Source organism: Homo sapiens, chromosome 2, assembly GCF_000001405.40.
Source record: "Homo sapiens chromosome 2, GRCh38.p14 Primary Assembly".
NCBI lineage: Eukaryota > Metazoa > Chordata > Mammalia > Primates > Hominidae > Homo > Homo sapiens.
This window is the reverse complement of record NC_000002.12, coordinates 210,511,043-210,531,844: the sequence shown is the minus strand read 5'-3', so window position 1 is coordinate 210,531,844 and position 20,802 is coordinate 210,511,043. Positions and strand designations below refer to the sequence as shown.

The 20,802-nt window shown below is 35.2% G+C and overlaps 1 protein-coding gene across 3 annotated transcripts in view; it reads right to left on the bottom strand.

Moving 5' to 3' along the window:
• The window catches only part of CPS1 (carbamoyl-phosphate synthase 1), a 201,423-nt gene that overhangs the window by 147,263 nt on the left and 33,358 nt on the right, over positions 1-20,802 (bottom strand). The window contains exon 2 of one of the 3 annotated variants that reach the window (NM_001369257.1): positions 12,175-12,294. The exons of 1 other annotated variant lie outside the window; for it this stretch is intronic. Coding sequence is in view for 1 of the 2 variants with exons in the window: in NM_001369256.1 (NP_001356185.1) it covers positions 12,061-12,078 (18 nt within the window). In the remaining variant the exon portion in view is untranslated. Of the gene's footprint in view, positions 1-12,060; positions 12,128-12,174; positions 12,295-20,802 lie in introns of those variants that run through there. One more of the 3 variants, NM_001369256.1, reaches the window with a different exon arrangement.

Sequence of the window (20,802 nt, the reverse complement as noted above, 5' to 3'; positions counted from 1 at the left end):
CCATGTACCACACAAAGAAACATAAAAAATAGCGTTTTGACTATCCATGTGTACTTAAACTTTAACATCCAGGAGATCCTACCATCTAGCTAAAGTTTCACCTCCTATCAATGGCAAATTATAATCTTGTTTCCAAATCTTTTTTGGTGGTGGATTGTAAATAATCTAAGCACATCATCTGTCCAAAGAGCATTCTACTATTAACTCCTCCCGATAAACGACCTTTACTTCTGCAGCTCAAAGTTACCAGAAATTCTCTCTTCTTTTTTGTCTTTTCTCATTGAGTAGGCCAAGTAAAACAGAGCTGGTAGGCATAACCCCCTCAAATTTGAACAAACACTTGAATGCAAAGCTTTGGGTTGGATTGCCTCATTAAAATGTTCCCAATTGATTACTTTTATTGTTCAGTTTTTCAGTAGGCATGGAATAATAAGTACCAAAGAAACAGAAATCCTAAAATAACTAGTAAATCACTTGACAATTGAGAGACCATTACACGATGCTAAATAGAAACCACAGGAGCCAAGGCTGGCAGAAGAGTACTGTTCAAAATTACAAACTGGCAGAGAATTATCTGTTCTCCAGAGCTCGTACTTTTTTCCCCCGTCTTTGCCCTCTATGGCTAAAATTGATTCCCCAGGGTTTTCAGCCCCAAGGCCATGATCTCTCAACCTGCCGACAAGTTGTGCCTTCTGTCATCATTTTTTCTATATTAGAGATCAGAAATGTTAAGTCACGTCCTGGAGAGTTTTCAAACTTTGTAGTTTTATTCAACTGATGACATGGCAAGAGTTTTTAGGGCAATATTACCAGTTATTTGTCAAAGTATTTAAACAATACTTAAGAATAAAGATTTTTTAAAGTTTTCTTTCTCATGAACATTTTTCTGATATTAACTAAGGCAATTGTTGTCCAAGCTTACTGTGCATAATTAACTGCAAGGAATGATTATTAGAAATGCATATTCTTGGGCCACACTAGATCTGCCAGATCTAAATTGCTACAGTTAGAGGTGGGCATCTTTTATTTTTAACAAGTCCTCCAGTTGATCCTGAAGTAGGTGGTGGTTAGCTACATGCATAACAGAAATAGAGTGTGAATGGAAGTTGGGGCACAAAGAGAGGCAGTATTTACGATGCTGCAGTAAGTTTCTTAAACTCAGTTTAACAGCTGCCTTTATCACTGCCACTCACGACTACCACCTTAGGTTAAACTGAATAACCTCCTCAGCCTCAGCTTCTTCATCTAAGGAATGAAAATAATTATACCCACCTCAACATTGTTTTATGGATGAGTTTACAGTGTTGAAAACACTTAATCCCTCACGTCAAGCCAGAACCAAAAGAATCTTATGTAAATCTCTCTCTTGTAAAGTGGTTAGCAGAATTCTACACAATGCTCAGTAGTTTGGCTATTATTGCAACATAAGAAAGGAAATTTGATAGAAAATAGTGAATAATTTTATTTTTATAGTTGAGGTTGGAAGAAAAAGTATAAAGTATTAAAAATCAATGGAATTTTTAAAAAATCATTTAGAAATTGTTGGCATTTTCCACAAATACGTTTCCAAATCAGAAGAGTCTAATCTATTTGAAAAGTTCAGTAACTCCACTCATCAAAAACTGTATTACTTAACAATAGAACAAGCCATTTGTACATGGATTTTATCACTTTGTCCAACTTTTAGCTAAATCACTCCATGCCTTTATGCAAGTCACTAAGTTGCCTTCAGAATCAACTTTCCTATCAATGGAAATAATTATAAAGTGGTAACCCTTACCAAGATATTATATTACACTTTTAATAAAATGTTTAAGGTCTACAAGTTGAAAACCATTACAAGTTTAAATTCACTATAATTTACTACAGGAAACGTGAAATGCATAAGAAGAGAAGACTAATCTGGTGACAAGATTTGAAAATGCTTTTGACTAAAAATGTCTAGCATTATATTGTGGGTATATCTCAAGCCGAAATAGAATAGAATTGAACTGACATGGAGCAATGAATGGGCAATAAAATGGGGATAGAATAAATGCAGTTAAGATGAAACCAAATAGAATCCATATTTTATCCATCCTCATCCATCTCCACAATAAGGTCACTTATTATCAGGATGTCTAACCTGGTTTCTACTTCTAATGTGAAGTAAGACATTCTGTCTTACTTCTGGTGGAAGTATTGATTAAATAGTGAAGAGTAAGCAAAAATATTCTGGGATGCTATCTTTCCAGACTTGTTCTTCTTTTTGTCAGATTCAAAGGAAAATGCAGACTGAAATGAATCCCTCATTGTTTTCTCTCAAGATGCTAATGTTATGGCTTAAGCAACTGTAATGCAAAGAGTCCAACAACCAAGAGAAGGTAAATGAAAAAACCTTTCCCAAATTGCATAAACCTAACTGGAGAAAACAAATGGTGCAGGTTGACTCTCTGGTTATCAAAAGAGGTAGACTCTAAAATAGGTTTATTCTGGCAGAGCCTTAAAAAGGAAGACAACATTTTGAACAAGTCCCAAGAGAAAGTGGAAATTATTCTTGGTTCTCTGGTCTTTTCTCTCTGAGTCACTCAATTTAATGTCTAAATGATGTTTTAGTTCCACCTACTAAGTGCTAAGCCTTAGGAGATTGAAAAATGATTAAGGCTTGGTTCCTATGTTCAAAGAAATGAGAAGAGTGAAATACATACAAAATTAGCTCCAGAGAGAGTTATTTCTTTCTCATGATTATCCTAACACTAGCTTTATATTCCCAGTTCTATTTTCACTATAACTCCCTTTAAAAATCTTAACGGGGACATCTCACCATCTTGCATTCAAATATGCATAAAGCCAAACATATAATAATCTCCTCCCCCTAAAAAGCACTCCACATTCCAAACTTACTCACGACACTACTATTTTCTCAATAACTCATGCTGTAAAAGTTAACGTTTTTTATTCATCCTTTTGTTTCTTGTCTCATAGTCAGCTAGCCACAATGTCCTGTCAAATTTTCCGAGGAAGCTACTCAAAAAAAAAAAAAAAAAAAAAGTTGTCTTGATTCCTAGTACTAACTGTACTCTATTTCAAATCCTCTTGATCTTTTTCTATTATAGTCAGAAGTAATTAGGAAAATAGAGATCTGCCTCCCCCACACTCATGAACTAGGAGCTAAATGAATAACAACGTAGTAGATGCCATTGGAATGGCATCCTAGTTCACAAGGTTCACCACTGAGATCCCCAGACTTGGCACTGTTTCTGCTTTTCCTAAGGCACTATTGTTTGGTTAATCCAGCCCTTCTTTGAGCTACCTTGGTGTATTTCCAATAAATTACCTTTTCTTTGACTTATTGATTTCCATTACTTTTAACCAGAAGAACCTTAACCAATACAAAAAGAAATAAGATTGAGCATTACATGAATTAAATCAATACATAATGAGAGGAGATAGTCTCTCAAATGTACAATATTTTACTTAAAATATTACCAGAAAGCTTAATTGTGCTGTTGACACAAAGAAATAATGTATAAGTGTAAAAACAATTTTTATAGGGATCTAAAGTAGTTCTGGGTACATCAGAGAGACTGCAATTGGATCACTAAAAAAGTTTCTGTTTTCTGCGGTGGGGTAAATATGTTTTATCTGATCACAAGGCAACCTAGATAAAATGTGCCTCAAGATCATCACCTTCCATTTGTTCTAATTATATGCCCACTAAACAAGCAATTGAGTACTACTTCAAGTCTCCACAAACAGGGTGACTTGTGTTGAGGATGTAAGCACTTTAAAGAGACAGCTTCTATTTTAAATTAACAATATCCCTATATATTCGGTTACTGCGAACCTCATACAGAGAGTCTGATCATTCCTAAGAACACCAATAAATGCAAGCTTATGTTCCTCAAATGCTAGGGAATTTAACATTAAGTGTCATGAATTCACAAGGAAAATATCAGTCTCTGAGCCCCTGATGCAACCTTCTCCCACTCCACTGCATCAAATTTTAAAGCTGTATGACTGCCTCTCCCCCACAAAAAATTCTCTGTTTATTCATTTATTTTTCAGCCTTTTTTAATCTGTCAAGAATATATTAGGTAATGAAGTATCATGTTCATACTTACCACGATACTTCATGGGTAAGTATGGACATTGAACGTGTCCATAAGATGGACAATAACAAATAATTTATTAATATTATGCTAGTAAACATAACAAAGAACAAATAGAAGGTTCTATTAAGGCACTCAGAAAGGGACTTATCCTGGTCAGGGATATCAGGAAACACTTCCTGAGGAAATTGCATTAAAGTTGGACCTGAAAGATGGCCCCAGGTTACTCCTTCCAAATCTATTTTTCTGTCATTGCCAGTTTAATATTTAATAGAACTTTCAACACTTCTCTCACATTCAAAATCTCTACCCACTAAGAAAATAATTAAACTGAGGTGACATCAGGAACCACTAGACTAGGTGATCTCTTAGATCCCTTGTAGATCTAAAGATCTCATGTTTAGTTTTCAATATGTGCATAATGTTCCATCTTATGGGAGTCCTGCAGTTAGCTGGAGGTCCCTTATATTTTTGTATGTAAGAAAAGTAAATTGCAAAGAAATGTATGTGACTGGCCTACATTTCTAGGAAAATGATCAACTTAGTATAGGTGTTTTTGTTTATATAGTATCTTATGAACATAGAGAAATATGTGGAGAAATACAGCAAAGTATTATTAAAGGAAAGGAAAGAAATAAAGAAGAGAAAAAAAGGCTATTGAATAACTTAAAAATATCAAGGCTTAATTTTAATAAAAATTCAAAGGTACATATGCCATCTAATTGTGGTTTTGCCATTACTTTTAATGCCAAAAACAATTATTTTTGCACCAACGTAATATTTCTGCAAATCTGTAAAAACTGAAAATAGAGATTTTGGCATTTACCAAATAGAAATGTCATAGATAAATTACAGTATTGATTGATTAGTGACAAGATTATAGCAATTTGTATCATTGGTATCTGTTTTCATTTCAATACTATGCTTGCAATTGAGTAATGTTTAAATCTTTGTGATTTTTAAGTACAATCTGTGCTACCCATTCAAAGGCTCTCCTTAATTCAGCTTCATTCTCTCTCTTCAGTTTCCTACTGCTTCCCAAATGTATCCACCAAGCACTTTTTAACAGTAACCTCTAGTTTTATGGCTCTTGTGATAGATTTCAGGGTGTGTGGGGTAGGGGTGGCAGGGAAGTGAGGAAAGAAAAATGTCTTTGAAGTCTACTATGCGGCAGGCCCCATGCTAGGTGCTTTTCATTCATAAATCCATTTAGTCCTTTCAATATGTTAAAACGGACATATTACCACCTTCTCTCTTTTACAGATAAGAAAACTGAGTTAAGTAACTTCCTTGAGTCCATGGCACCAAAGAAATAAAGCTGGAATTTTCGCCCAGGACAGCCTATTTATAAAACTCATTCTTTTTTTTTTTTAATATATTTTAAGGTCTGGGATACATGTACAGAATGTGCAGGTTTGTTACATAGGTATACATGTGCCATGGTGGTTTGCTGCACCCATCAACCCATCATCTACATTAGGTATTTCTCCTAATGCTATCCCTCCCCTACCCCTCCAACCCACGACAAGCCCCATTGTGAGATGTTCCCCTCCCTGTGTCCATGGGTTCTCATAGTTCAACTCCCACTTATGAGTGAGAACATGTGGTGTTTGGTTTTCTGTTCGTGTGTTAGTTTGTTGAGAATTATGGTTTTCAGCTTCATCCATGTCCCTGCAAAGGACATAAACTCATCCCTGATTCTTTACCCACCACACTTTGTCCTCTGCCTCCCTTTCCATGCTCATCTCCCATTAGTTCCCCAGTGGACTCTTCATTGCAGTCATACCAGTCATGTGGGACTGCTTGCATTTTCTTGCACGTGCCATTCTTTTCTCTCACCCAGTCTCCTTTTCCCAACCTTGTCCTTGTCCTTGTCTTTCTCCTACTGCTGCTCCTTCTTCTCCTTCCTCCTCTCTTTCTCTCTCCCTCTCTCTCTCTCTCTCTCTCCATTTTACTTTGCTTGGAATGTACTACTCCTACTCCACCTGTATATTAAGCAAATTTCTACTTGTTTCCTAAGGCTCAGCCCAGCTATCCTCTCCTGCAAGCCATCACTGGTATGACATCTCCAAACGACTCAAGAGCTTCCTCTGTGCTCCCATTATGCCTACTTTTAGACCTCTATTGTGTCCCTTATCACTGCCAAAATTATTTGATTATTTAGCCACCAGCTCACTAAACTTTTACCTTCCCCACTCTAACTGTTGAGTCATCATCAAGCAGAAGCTGTAAGTTCTTTATAATTTCAAAGCCTCATGCAGGACCTGGAAGACATGAAAAATTTAATAAATGCGTGCTAAATGAATGAATAAATTAATTGTTCCCTTGAGTTCAGTACACAAATCCAGAGTAATTTACAGAGGACAGGTGAGTGAACAAGACAGAATGAACATGATAGTTTGCCCTGTTCTTAAAAGACAGCATAGTCTCTCAGATAAGTTAATTGTCTGAGGGAGGTTTTGCATCAGAATAATTAGCTGGAAAGTACAAAGTTTCAGAGAAATTATATATGCTTATATATACTAAGTTTTACATGGTGTGCCTGTAGAAGCTGAAGCCTAACTCAGGGATACCCAGCCATACCAAAGATTTCCTTGTCCTTGGTGTGGCACAGAAGCTGGGATAATAGGTATTTCAATAATGACCCAAGTAGAAAAATGACTGATGATGACAAGAGACTCCTTAGTTCTTATTACTACGGGAAAGGAGGATCCCCTTCCAATAAAAATTAGATTTAATTTCCTGTCTGTTCAGTGGATGAAACCTGAGAATTGAATTGGAATTAATAGAGATTGTAAAAACTAATACTTCTTACTTTACCAGATTTGGTATAAGTTAGGACTACTGGATTCCAAGCAACACAAAAGTACATTCAGCAACTTAAACAAGAAACACTGAAGGAGGTTTTGCACAGAAAGAACAGCCAAAAAATAAAGCCTTGGAACCAACAAGAACTAGTAAAGCTCTGAGGTTCTAGGAAACAGGAGTCAATGACCTTGTCTGAGTGCCATCTTTGAGCTGAATTCACTCCAATTATTTTCTTGTTACTCAACCTAACAGAGAATCTGATTGGTCCAGCATGGTTTACTATATCCATGAATTAGCTAAGGGAGATTGGAGTATTTTTAGGTACAGTCCCACTAAGACTCCAATCAAATAAGGATGACAAGTTCCCCATAGAAATACTGGGGTATAGAAACCATAAAATAAGGAAACAGATAAATACATTTGGGATGACAAAAATAATATATCCACTACTTAATTATAGTCCTACTTTGCATTATTTCGGTATAAGCTCCATGGAGACAGGAACTTTGACTAATCTTATTTCCTACTATATTCTCATCACTATAATATTAACTAGCATACAGTACGCATTCAATAAATATTAGTTAAGTTAATTTAATACCTTGTTTCTAAATAAATTGCCCTTTGGTTACACTAGCTAGATATCATGTAGGTTCAAGAAAGAAAAATATATACAGTCATTAAATGTTTATAAAAGTAAAACTATAGAAAAAAATCAAAGCCTGGGGCAGATTCAAACTGAGAACCCTGAATGGTCAGAGACCCATAAGAGGGCTCCAGAGGTTTATAAAGATAAAGAGCATAGTACATGTTAGAAGGAAGGCATGGGGAAGCTGGGAGAAGGGAAGTTATGTTCATTGAGTGCCTGCGTTCTGACAGCTGTTCTGGTAGGTGCTTTTGCATATGCTGTTTTATTAATATGGTATACCAAAACTTTGCGGAATATACAAAAAGTAATGACTATCATAGAATGCGGACTGCATTTCCCTCATAGTCATCTATATGGCTAGCCCTTGACCTCAGGTACCCTCCACTAAGCACACATTTGTTTTGCACAGTGAAGCCACTGCCTCTAGTAAAGAGCAAAGGGTCAGCATTGCTGGTCAAAGAAACGTCAATCTTTTCCAGTCCATCTCTGCCTCACCTTCAGGCACACCCACTGCAGGAAATAATGCCAAGCACTTTATATGTGCCTGCATGAACATTCATTCTTTGGATTATTGGATAAAGAAAATGTACCATGGAATAATATTTAGCCATAAAAAGAATGAAATCATGTCTTTTGCAGCAACATGGATGGGAATGAAGACCATTATCTTAAGTGAAACAACTCAGACACAGAAAATCAAAGACCTCATGTCCTCATTGACAAATGGGAGCTAAATAATGCGTCCACGTGGACACAGAGTGTAGAATAAAAGACACTGGAGACTCGGAAAGGTGGGAGGGTAGGAAGGAGGTGAGAGAGGAGAAATTGTTTAGCAGGTACATTGTACATTATGTATGTAATGGTTACACTAAACCCATGGATATATTGCACCATTACGCAAAAAAATTAATACAAAATACATTATACAAAAAAATTAATAAAGTGTGCAAATGCCACAACCAACTTACCTTTTCGGGTTATTCCTTCTCCAGTATCCCCCAAAGTTGTTAGCAACAAACTACTCACTCTGTCCTAAAATAAAGTCTGCTGGTTTAAGGCAGCAAAGAAGTTATTTCCAGTTGGTTCTCTCTACAGACAGTGAGGTCCAGAAAAAACATAAAGAACTTCACATTACATAGCCCATGCTTATTTTACAGATGACAAAACAGAGGCTTAGATAAGAAAAGAGAGTTGCCCAGTATCTCACAGCTAGTTAGTGTTAGGGCCAGGACTTTACCCTGGATCTCCCATTTTCTAATTCAGTTCTTTTCTTATTTCACCAGAGTTTGCTCAGATGTTGGAATTCCATGGTAGCTTTAAGTTGTTTACAATAAATAATGGATTAACTGCCTTAATTATGGATTAATATATTTTTTCACTTAATTTAATTATTGATCTCTGTCAGAACATTTTTCACAATCAAATGATTTCCAATACAACAGAGTACTTTTACCTGCTCATAAGAACCCAAGACCAAATCACGGATTTATCATAAGGTATTTTAATTAGAGGGTGCTCTTTTTTATATTTGAGGTCTCACCAAGATGGTGGTATGCTCTTTCTAATTATATAAGATGGTGATGAGGTCCATGAACCCAAGAAGTGATAGCAACTGTCCACTATTATCTCTGGAGATTTTTTAGATCAATACAACCTCAACCATTCAGATAAGGATGTTCCTTGGTAGCCAATCCAATAGCACCATCTGGTTGACAGAAGCAAAGACAAGCAACAGAAACTATGAGTCCAGAATAAATTGTTATGATTCCAGAGTATCTCACTCACATTTTAGATTCAAAATTTATGGAATGAAAATGCAATTCTCTTGGCCTTTTTCTTTAATTATCATATCAGTCAGATTTCTGACTTGCAAACAACAAAATCTACTCTAGCTAAAGTTTAAAAAAAATTCTTAAAAATAACACTTAACTACACCAAAGCTTGATCCTTAAAATACAAGAATGATAAATTGGACTTTATCAAAACTTAAAAATTTGACTTCAAAGGCATTGTTAAGAACATGAAAACATAAAACACTGACTGGCAGAAAATATTTGTAAATCATATTACTGGTAAAGACATGTATCCAGAATATATCAAGAACTTTGGTGATCTGCAGATGGTCTCCCTGAAGTATTCAACACTCGCATGTGAAGAAGTTACCCAAGGCTAGGAAAAGAACCACCTGGAAAGATCAGAGGGAACAGAAAAACTAAAAGACCTCCTAATTCACAGAGTATTAGAGTCAGAAGAGCCTTGCTTCAATAGTGGGAAATAATTAGCCATAGTCTATATGTGGGTCTGATTCCACCTAAGAAGTCATAAGAGCAAGATCCAAAAGGCTCAAACTGTTACCAAGTAATTAGCTGTGACCTAGAACAATGCTTAAGGATATTTATAATAAACCAAAAATCTCTAGCATCAAATAAATCACAGTGTCTGACATCCAATAAAAATTACCAGGCATGCAAAGAAGCAGGAAATATAATTGATAATGTGGAGAAAAATAAGTCAATCAAAACTAACCTGGAACTGACTCAAATTTTAGAATTGACAAGGAAATTAAAGTAGTTATTTCATAAGTTCAAGCAGTTGAGTCATGAGAGATATTTTTAAAAACAAGCATTAAACTTATGGAGATAAAAACTACAATGTCTGATATTAAAAATCTGCTGGATGGGATTAACTCCAAAGTATATATTGCAGAAGAAAAGAGCAGTGAACTCAAACACATAGCAATGGAAACTCTGTAAAATGAAACATGAAAAGAAAAATAATTTTTTAACAGAAAACTATGTGAAAATCAGTGGTTAAAATCTTCTAAATTTGATAAAAACTATAAACCAATAGTAGAAGCAAGCTCAATGATCCTCAAGCACAAGAAACATGAAGAAAACTACACCAAGGAATATTATAATAAAATTGCCCAAAACCATTAATAAAGAGAAAAATCTTGAAAATTGAGAAAAAAAGGAAACATGTAGAAAGAAAAAAGATGAGGATGAAAGGATGATTAAGGATTAAGGATAAACATATTTAAACTACTAGAAAAAAATCTGTCAATCTAGGATTCTGTAACAAGGAAATCTTTCAAAAAATTAGCCATTAGAGAAATGCAAGTTGTAGTTACCATGAGATGATACTACCTGCTTATAAGAATGGCTACAATTTGAAAGACTAGCCTTGGCAAATGTTGGTGAGGTCCTCAAAGAATTGAAACTCCTATACACTGCTGGTGGGAATATAAAATGTTGCAACCACTTTGATAAACAATTTTGAAGCTTCATGAAAAGCCTAACATACACTCACCGCATGATCCACTATTGGATCCCCTTTTTCCCCCAAGAGAAATGACAACATATGCCCATAAAACTTTTGCACATGAATGCTCTTAGCAGCTTTATTTTGTAGTAGCTAAAAACAAACCCAAATATTCTGATATTCATACAGGTGAGTGAGTAAAAAACATTGTAGTACATTCATACCATGGAATACTCAGCAATGAAAAGAAATGAACCATTGATTGCCAAACACAACAATATGGAGGAACCTCAAAATAATAATGTTTGGTGAAAGAAGCTAGACAAAAAATAATCCATACTGTATGATTCCATTTGTATAAAATTTTAGAATTCAAACTAATGTATAGTGACAGAAATAGATCAAGAGTCAACTAGAGACAGACAGAGTAGGCAAAAAGGAGAGATAATGAAAAGGCATTAAGAAATATTGAGTGTGCATGTTCTCACTTATAAATGGGAGTTGAACAATGAGAACACATGGACACAGGGAGGGGAACATCACACACTGGGGCCCATCGTGAGGTGGAGGACAAGGGGAGGGAGAGCACTAGGACCAATACTAATGCATGTGGGGCTTAAAACCTAGATGGCGGGTTGATAGGTGCAGCAAACCACCATGGCACATATATACCTATGTAACAAACCTGCATGTTCTGCACATGTATCTCAGAACTTAAAGTAAAATAAAATAAAGAAACATTGGGTGTGATGGCTAGATTAACTATCTTGACTCTGGTAATAGTTTCACAGATGTATACATATGCAAAAGTGCATAAAATTAAATACTTTATGAGTAAAATTTATTGGATGTCAATTATACATTAATAAACTTTCTAAAATATATGTGTTTTATATTTATCAAAGTTATATAAATTTAGCAAAATCAATACCGAGGCATACATCACCATCTTAGGATGAACTGGAATACATGAATAAATCAGAAATTTGATTTAAAAATATAAGTAAATAAACAATGACGATTTGTATTTCTCAGAACTTATCTGAGGAATATAACAATAAGCATATAGATGTGTTTCCAGGAACATGACAGAGACAGGCTGATGAGAAAACCACAGCTACCACAGCTGCCTCTGAGCACTGTATGCTGGAACGCATCTCTGATTATATCACTACAACCCAGAACAAAGCCATTTTTTCATTAGGAACTTTTGCATAAATCATTGCCCTCCCCGCCAACAAAGCCAAATACCTCTTCCAACATTTTCATCAGGAAAATGCAAACTTCACTGCTCCCTCATACTGGATGCTTTTGAACTAAAGTTTCAATTGGGTTTGTCTGACTGGTGGGGCTTGGGTCACGTGCCTGTGTCTAGATGCAAGCGAGGCTGGGAATTCAAGTTCAAAATCCATGTAGGGCAGGAAATACTCATAACGTGTCAGTTTCTCCATCATTTCTGAAGGCCATTTAGAAGATAATGGGTAGCTGCAAATAATGATAGTTGTCAATGACAATAATTATTCAGAATTAGACCTATGCCAAACTACTAACATTTCTTTAAGCATCACTTTCTAGGAAAGAAAATTTTGTACACTACAGTATTTCAAACTTCAGATGCAACACCTTTTTAATGTTTATTACTGATACTAAAGTGATGAATTATAGTTTCACTTTCAGAATGGCATCAAAAGAATATGAAATATATTAGGAATACTTTAGATGCACATAGTCTATTCATTTTTAAAGAATTTTCATATAACTTATCTGTAGTTTCAGAAAGTGGGATTACACCTTGGGCAAAATGCAATCAGTTCTCCAGAAGTTGAATTAAAGTATTAAATAGCAACTCTGATAAGGCAAAATTAATAATTAATGTGTAAAGATGGGACAGTTATACAAAGAGCAAGGAACAACTTGGCACAAGTTAATAAACACATCTAATTTTCTACAGAAACTCATCAAGAAACTTAAGATTGTATTCTGATTTTGTAAGACCATTTCAGAAGAAAATCTTAACTCTGCTGGTTTCACTCACATAATTGGTGAGAGAAGGGTAGGAACTAAAGATGTTTTTAAGGCTTTCATTTGGAATTAATAAAAACCTTAAAAAACACAAGAGGAGAAAATTTTGAGGTTAAGATAATGAGCTGAATTTGGTAAATTTAGATTTAAAGGGCCTGCAGGTCACCCACCTGGAAAGGTTCAGCATTCAGAAATGTTGGTCGGGAATTTAGGAAACACGTAATTGTCAGTGTCAGTTCTCAATCTTTATTTTGTTTGTATTTTGTAATAAAGAGAATTTAGTTCAGAAAAAAAAATAGCCGAAGCTTAATAAGTTAGAAACTTAGTTCTCTCCCACATCTGTTAAATACAGCAGTTGGGCAGCTATGAGGCTACACAGAATGAGACCCTGTTCCTTTTCTTACGTGACTTCCTTTCCCAAGGTCCAACATGGCTGCTGGTGCCTCAGCCATCATATCTGTATTCCAGTCATATAGAAAAAAGAAAGAAGAAAAAGTAGCAAGCCATTCCCTTTGGAGACACTTTCAGTAAGCTGGACATTACTTCCACCTTCATTCCATTGGCCAGAACACAGTAAATGGCCACATCTATCTACAAGAATGGTTGGGAAATATAGTCTTTATTCTAACCACGCATCTACCTACTTGAAAAATCTGGTCTTCTTTTACTAAGGAAAAGGAAGAGAACAGATATTGAGCAATAATTAGCATTTGGCTAATATACCTGGGACAAATGGCCCCAGCAATACTATCTCTCCCACTAAAGAAATTAAGTGGCAGTAACAGCATCATCATAGAGATCACTGCAAATCTAGTCTAATTTATAAAATTAGAAACTCACAATAGTTGGTACCTTGAGAAATATTAGTGACAAATCTCTGGAAAGACACAACAGACCACAACATACAAAAATGTCAGGGCATCATGACTATAGAGAACCATATATGGTTCTTAAACTATATGGCACTTAAACTATCATAGCATTACCAACAGCAATCTACTGCTACTAATCAGTTTTTATAGGGGAAAATGAACAAATTTCAGTCACATAGATAGCATGTATAATGGCCTGGGTCTGACATATAATTACGATATGAAATTAGAAACGGTGGCTAACAGTTACCAAAGGTATAAAACTCTAATTTTGGATGACCGTTTGGTTGGCCAGTTCAAACTACAGCATAGCCATAAGAGTTTTGACAAAATTATTTAAGACATCCTTCTAACTGCGAACTTTATGGTGTTTTATATCACACATTCCTCTAGGAAAAAAATTCAAAAGCTACATGCTGTGATTATTCAGATACAAAAAGAAAACTGGAAGAAACAACAATCAGGAAGAAGAAAAAAGGCTAAACTCTGTAAATGGAATAACTGCTATCATTTTTCTTTGCCATTACCTTGACAATAAAAGGGTTCTGTGGAGGCTCCTGATTTATGGTCCTTTCAGGCAGTCACTGCTGAACAAAGCCACATTGATTTCCCTCGATTCAAGGTGGGGCAGTTCAAGGCCACTAACAATTGCAATTCACACATCTATTGGTTGATATCTGTGAATTGCATCTGACCCAGACCAAATTTATGAATTGGGCTGATCTTAGTCTACTTGTCTTATCATCGACAAATAGAAACCTTTACTTTACAATAAGTCATGAGCACGCCGTGGACTTCTGACCTATGCCTGTGCTAGCTCTCTGGTTTGGAGACCTTAAGACTCTTTGAAGATTATGCACCAATAAAGTATATTAGTCTTTGATACAACTAAACGTTTAACTGCTGAGAACAGTATGATTACAGCAAGACTAACTTAAAAGAATTTAGTGAAAAAGTTCAATGTGTTTGTCTTGGACTTTCCTTAGGTTAGTGTTATTAATAAAGTGGAATTATAAGGTCCTTTATGAAATATTTCCTCGTTTATAAAACATCATATGGAAAATATGTAGAGAAATAAAATAGGGATATAGAAAAGACTAAGCCAAAACTCAGCACCAATAGACATATATTAATATATGCATAAAGACAAAGAATAGAGACAGGAAAAGGACATTAGAAAAAGCAAGCTAATATTTTAATAAATAACTGATATGGAATAAGAAAAGCCTGATATCATAGATGTGGTAAAGAGATGAATTGGAAAAATATTGAAGAATCAAAGAAAAAGTGAAGTCTTAACTATATAGCTGGGGTCTATCATTTAAAAGCTTTCTGCAGAAGATAGCATGAGCTGAGTTGTGAAGGACAAGTAAGGGATGATAGAGAGAACAGCATATATAAAGATAGCAAGACCTGATCCAGTAGCCCATGTGGAGCACTGCATGCAAAAGATGAGGTGGGGGTATGAGGTAGAGATAACCAGAGTTCAAATCATCATGTGCTTAATTCAGTAAGGCAGAGTTTAGTTTCGTCCTAAAGGCTCTACAGAACTACTGAAGGAGTTTAAACAGAGAAGTAATATGATCAGATATGCGTGTTAGAAAAATCACCAAAGCAAAGAGAAGAGCACATAGGAATGTGGTCAGAGGAGACAGAAAGACAATAACATAGGTTAGAAGTGAAAGGATTGTGAACTTAAAGACACTGGGAAAGAGGAAAAGGCGCAATTAAATTCAAGAGTTTGTTAGAAAATAGAAGGTGTAGGCATTGTGAATCAATTGGATGAGGTGGTGAGAGAGAAAGAATAAGAAAGAGAGAAGTATAAGAAGTCATCAACCGAACTTAAACCCCACTGACAGCATTAGACAGATCATTGAGGCAGAAAACTAACAAAAAATTCTGGACTTAAATATGACACTTGACAAATGGTACCTAATAGACACCTAAAAATACTCCACCCAGCAACCATAGAATGTACATCTTTCACATCTACACACAGAACATACTCAAAGGTCAACCACATGCTCAGCCATTCAAATTTATTGAATTTCAATAAATTCAAAAACATAGAAATACTCTCACACCGCAGTGGAATGAAACAGAAAGCAATATCAAGAAGATCTCTCAAAACCACAGAATTACATGAAATTAATAACACCCTGCTCCTCCTAAATGACTTTTGGGTAAACAATGAAATTAAGGAAGAAAATTTTTTAATTTCCTTGAAATAAATGAAAACAGAGATACAACATAGCAAAATCTCTGTGATGCAGCAAAAGCAATGTTATGACAAAAGATTATAGCACTAAATACCCACCTCAAAAAGCTAGAAAGATCTCAAATTAACGATCTAACATCACACCTACAGGAACTAGAAAAAGGTAAATAAACTAACCCCGCAGCTAGCAAAAGGAAAGAAATAACTAACAGAGTGGAACTGAATGAAATGAGACACAAAAATCTATACAAAAAACATCAACAAAACTAAAAGTGGGTTCTTTGAAAGAATAAACAAGATCAAGAGACCACTACCTAGATTAACAACAAAAAGAGAGAGATCAAAATAAGCACAATCAGAAACAACAAAAGTGACATTAGCACCAATCCCACAGAAATACAAAAGATTCTCAGAGACGACTATGAACACATCTACACACACAAAATACAAAATCTAGAGGAAACACATAAATTCCTAGAAACACACAATCTACTAACATTTAATCAGAAAGAAATATTGAAACCTTTAACAGACCAATATCAAGTTCCAAAATTGAATCAGTAATAAAAAAAAACCTACCAACCAAAAAAAGCTCTACAGCAAATAGATTCACAGCAAAATTCTACCAGACATACAAAGAAGAGCTTGTTTCAATTCTACAGAAATTACTCCAAAAACAGAAAGAGGAAGGACTCCTTCCTAACTCATTCTATGAAGCCAGCATTCACCTGATACCAAAACCTGGAAAAGACACAAAGAAAAAAAAACAAAATGCAGGCCAATATTCCTGATCAACATAGACACAAAAATCTTCAACAAGATACTAGCAAATCAAATTCAACAGCATATTGAAAAGTTAATTCACCATGATGATGTAGCCTTCATTCCTAGGGTGTAAAGTTCATGCAACATACACATATCAATAAATTCGATTTACCACATAAAGAGAATTAACAACAAAACATATGATCATTGTAAAAGAGGTAGAAAAAGCTTTAGATAAAATCCAACATCGCTTAATGATTAAAAAAAAAAACTCAACAAACTAGGCACTGAAGCAATGTACCTGAAAATAAGAAGAGTCATCTATGACAAATGCACAACCAGCATCACACTAAACAGACCAAAAAAAAAAAAAGAAGCATTCCCATTGAGAACTGGAACAAGACAAGGATGCCTATTCTTACCACTCCAATTCAACCAATTCAACATAGTACTAGAAGTACCAAGCAGACCAATCAAGCAAGATAAGGAAATAAAAGGCATCCAAATAGGTAAAGAAGAAGTCTAACTATCTCTCTTCACTGATTATATGATTCTATGCCTAGAAAACCCTAAAGACCCTGCCAAAGCTTCTGGAACAGATAAACACTTTCAGTAAAGTTTCACAATATAAAATCAATGTACAAAAATCCAGAGCATTTCCATATACCAATAATGTTCAAGCTGAGAGCCTAATCAAGAATGCAGTCTCATTTACAATAGCTACAAAAAAAAATACCTAGGAATACATCTACCTAAGGAGGTGAGAGATCTCTACAAGGAGAAATACAAAACACTCCTCAAAGGAATCATAGATGACACAAACAAATGGAAAAACATTTTATGTTCATGGATAGGAAGAATCAATATTATTAAAATGGCCACACTTCCCAAAGCAAGCTACAGATTCAACACTATTCCTATCAAACAACCAATGTCATTTTTTACAGAACTAGAAGAAACTATTCTACAATTCATATGGAACCAAAAAAGAGCTTGAGAAGCCAAAGGAATACTAAGCAAAAAGAACAAAGCTGGAAACATAACATCACCCAACTTAAAACTATACTATAAAGCTACAGTAACAAAAACAGCATGCTACTGCTACAAAAACAGGCATATAGACCAATGAAACAGAATAGAGAGCCCAGAAACAGTGCCACGTACAGCCATCTGATCTTTGACAAACTCAACAAAAACAAGCAATGGGGAAAGAACTTCCTATTCAATAAATTGTCCTGGGATATCTGACTAGCCATATGCAGAAAAATGACACTGGACTCCTACCTTTCACCATACACAAAAAGCCACTGAAGATGGATTAAAGATTTAATGTAAGACCTCAAACTATAAGAATCCTAGAAGAAAGCCTAAGAAACACCATTCTGGACATTGGCCTTGGGAAAGAATTTATGACTAAGTCCTCAAAAGCACTTGCAACAGAAACAAAAATTCACAAGTGGGACCTAATTAAACTAAAGAGCTGCACAGCAGAAGAAACTATCAACAGAGTACACAGACAACCTACAGAATGGGAGAAAATATTTGCAAACTATGCATCCAACAAAGGTCTACTATCTGGAATCTATAAGCAACTTCAACAATTCAACAGGCAAAAACCAACTTAACCCCATTAAAAAACAGGCAACAGACATGGACAGACATTTCTCACAAGAAGACATACAACGTATGTCTTCTCATATGTCAGCAAACATATGAAATAATGCTCCACATAACTGTCAGAGAAATGCAAGTCAAAACCACAGTGAGATTCCATCTCACACCAGTAGGAATGGCTGTTATTAAAAAGTCAAAAAACACAGATGCTGGTGAGGCTGTGGAGAAAAGGGAATGCTTATACACTGTTGAAGGGAATGTAAATTAGCTCAGCTACTGTAGAAAGCAGTTTAGAGATTTCTCAAAGAACTCAAAGCAGAACTACCATTTGACCCAGCAATCCCATTATGGAGAGAGAGAGATATATATATATATCCATACATATATATATATCTCCCCATATATATATCTCCATATATATATATCTCCATATATATATCCCCATATATATGTATCTCCATATATATATCTCCACATATATATCTCCATATATATATATCTCCATATATATATAAATATATAGATATATAGATATATATATATCTCCATATATATATCTCTCCATATATATATATCTCCATATATATATCTCCATATATATATCTCTCCATATATATATATCTCCATATATATATCTCCATATATATATATCTCCATATATATATCTCTATATATATATATCTATATATATATATCTCCATATATGTATATCTCCATATATATATCTCTCTCTCTCCATATATATATATCTCTCTCTCCATATATATATATATATATATATATATATATATATATATATATATATATAAAACTACTGGAGGATATGTATGTATCCAAAAGAAAATAAATTGTTCTACCAAAAAGACACATGCATACACATGTTCATTGCAGCACTCTTCAGAATAGCAAAGATATGGAATCAACCTAGGTGCCCATTAATGGTAGATTGAACAAAGAAAACATGCTGCATATATACCATAGAATATTACACAGCCATAAAAAAAGAATAAAATCATGTCCTTTGCTGCAATGTGGATGTAGCTGGAGGCCATTATCCTAAATGAATTAATGCAGGAACAAAAAACCAAATACTGCATGTTCTTACTTTTAAGTGGGAGCTAAACATTGGGTACTCATGAACATAAAGATGGCAACAAGAGAAACTGGGGAATACTGGAGTGGGGAAGGAGGCATGGGGACAAGGATTGGAAAATTGTTGGGTACTATGCCCACTATCTGGGTGATGGTATCATTTGTATCCCAAACCTTGGCATCACACAATATACCCATGTAACAAACCTGCACATGTAACGTCTGAATCCAAAATAAAAGTTGAAAAAATAATAATAAAAGAAAAACATAAGTAAATATTTGCACACATAAAAGTCACCATCCATGTTTCGGGCTTTAGAAACAATGCAGCTGGTTTTGTCATTCTCTGAAATGTGGTCTCTAGGAAAATGAAGAGGGCTAGGGAAAAATGGTAAGTTCACTTTTAATGATGTCCAACTTGAGCTGCCTGTGGGTGGTAAGGAAATATCAGGAGGCAATTAATTGGTGAATCTGAAATTTGGCTCAATTTGGGGTTCAATGACTCATGTAGAATAAGACTTAAGAGAAATTCTTTAACTAGAGAATGATGTTGATGTGAATAAATTTATTGAAGATTATTGAAACCACAATGTGTAAATAAGAAAAATACACAAGGTATATATGCCTGCAATTGTAAAATATTTCAGTCAGTTTTGAGTTTAGTCTATAGTCCTCCCTCATTCAGGAATTGTATTTACCCTCAACCAGGTGGATCTGGTAATAGCTCCTTTCTATGTTGTTCTAGGCAAACCCCATTACCGTCCTTGTCTCATTAGGTTTGACCGGGAGTATCACGTGAGCCTATCACTGAGTCTTAAGCTTTGCTTATGAAGTTGTAAAAGTCTTTGAATACTGAGTCTCTCTTCATCAGCTCCCATGGACATTTGCCCTGTGATTCTGCTGTTTTCTTTTTGTTTATTATTATAATTTAAGTTTGAGGGTACATGTGCACAATGTGCAGGTTTGTTACATATGTATACATGTGCCATGTTGGTGTGCTGCACCCATTAACTCGTCATTTAGCATTAGGTATATCTCCTAATGCTCTCCCTACCCGCTACCCCCACCCCACAACAGGCCCCAAGTGTGTGATGTTCCCCTTCCTGTGTCCATGTGTTCTCATTGTTCATTTCCCACCTATGAGTAAGAACATGCGGTGTTTGGTTTTTTCTCCTTGCGATGGTTTGCTGAGAATGATGGTTTCCAGCTTCATCCATGTCCCTACAAAGGACATGAACTCATCATTTTTTAAGGCTGCATAGTATTCCATGGTGTATATGTGCCACATTTTCTTAATCCAGTCTATCATTGTTGGACATTTGGGTTGGTTCCAAGTCTTTGCTATTGTGAATAGTGCCACAATAAACATACGTGTGCATGTGTCTTTATAGCAGCATGATTTATAGTCCT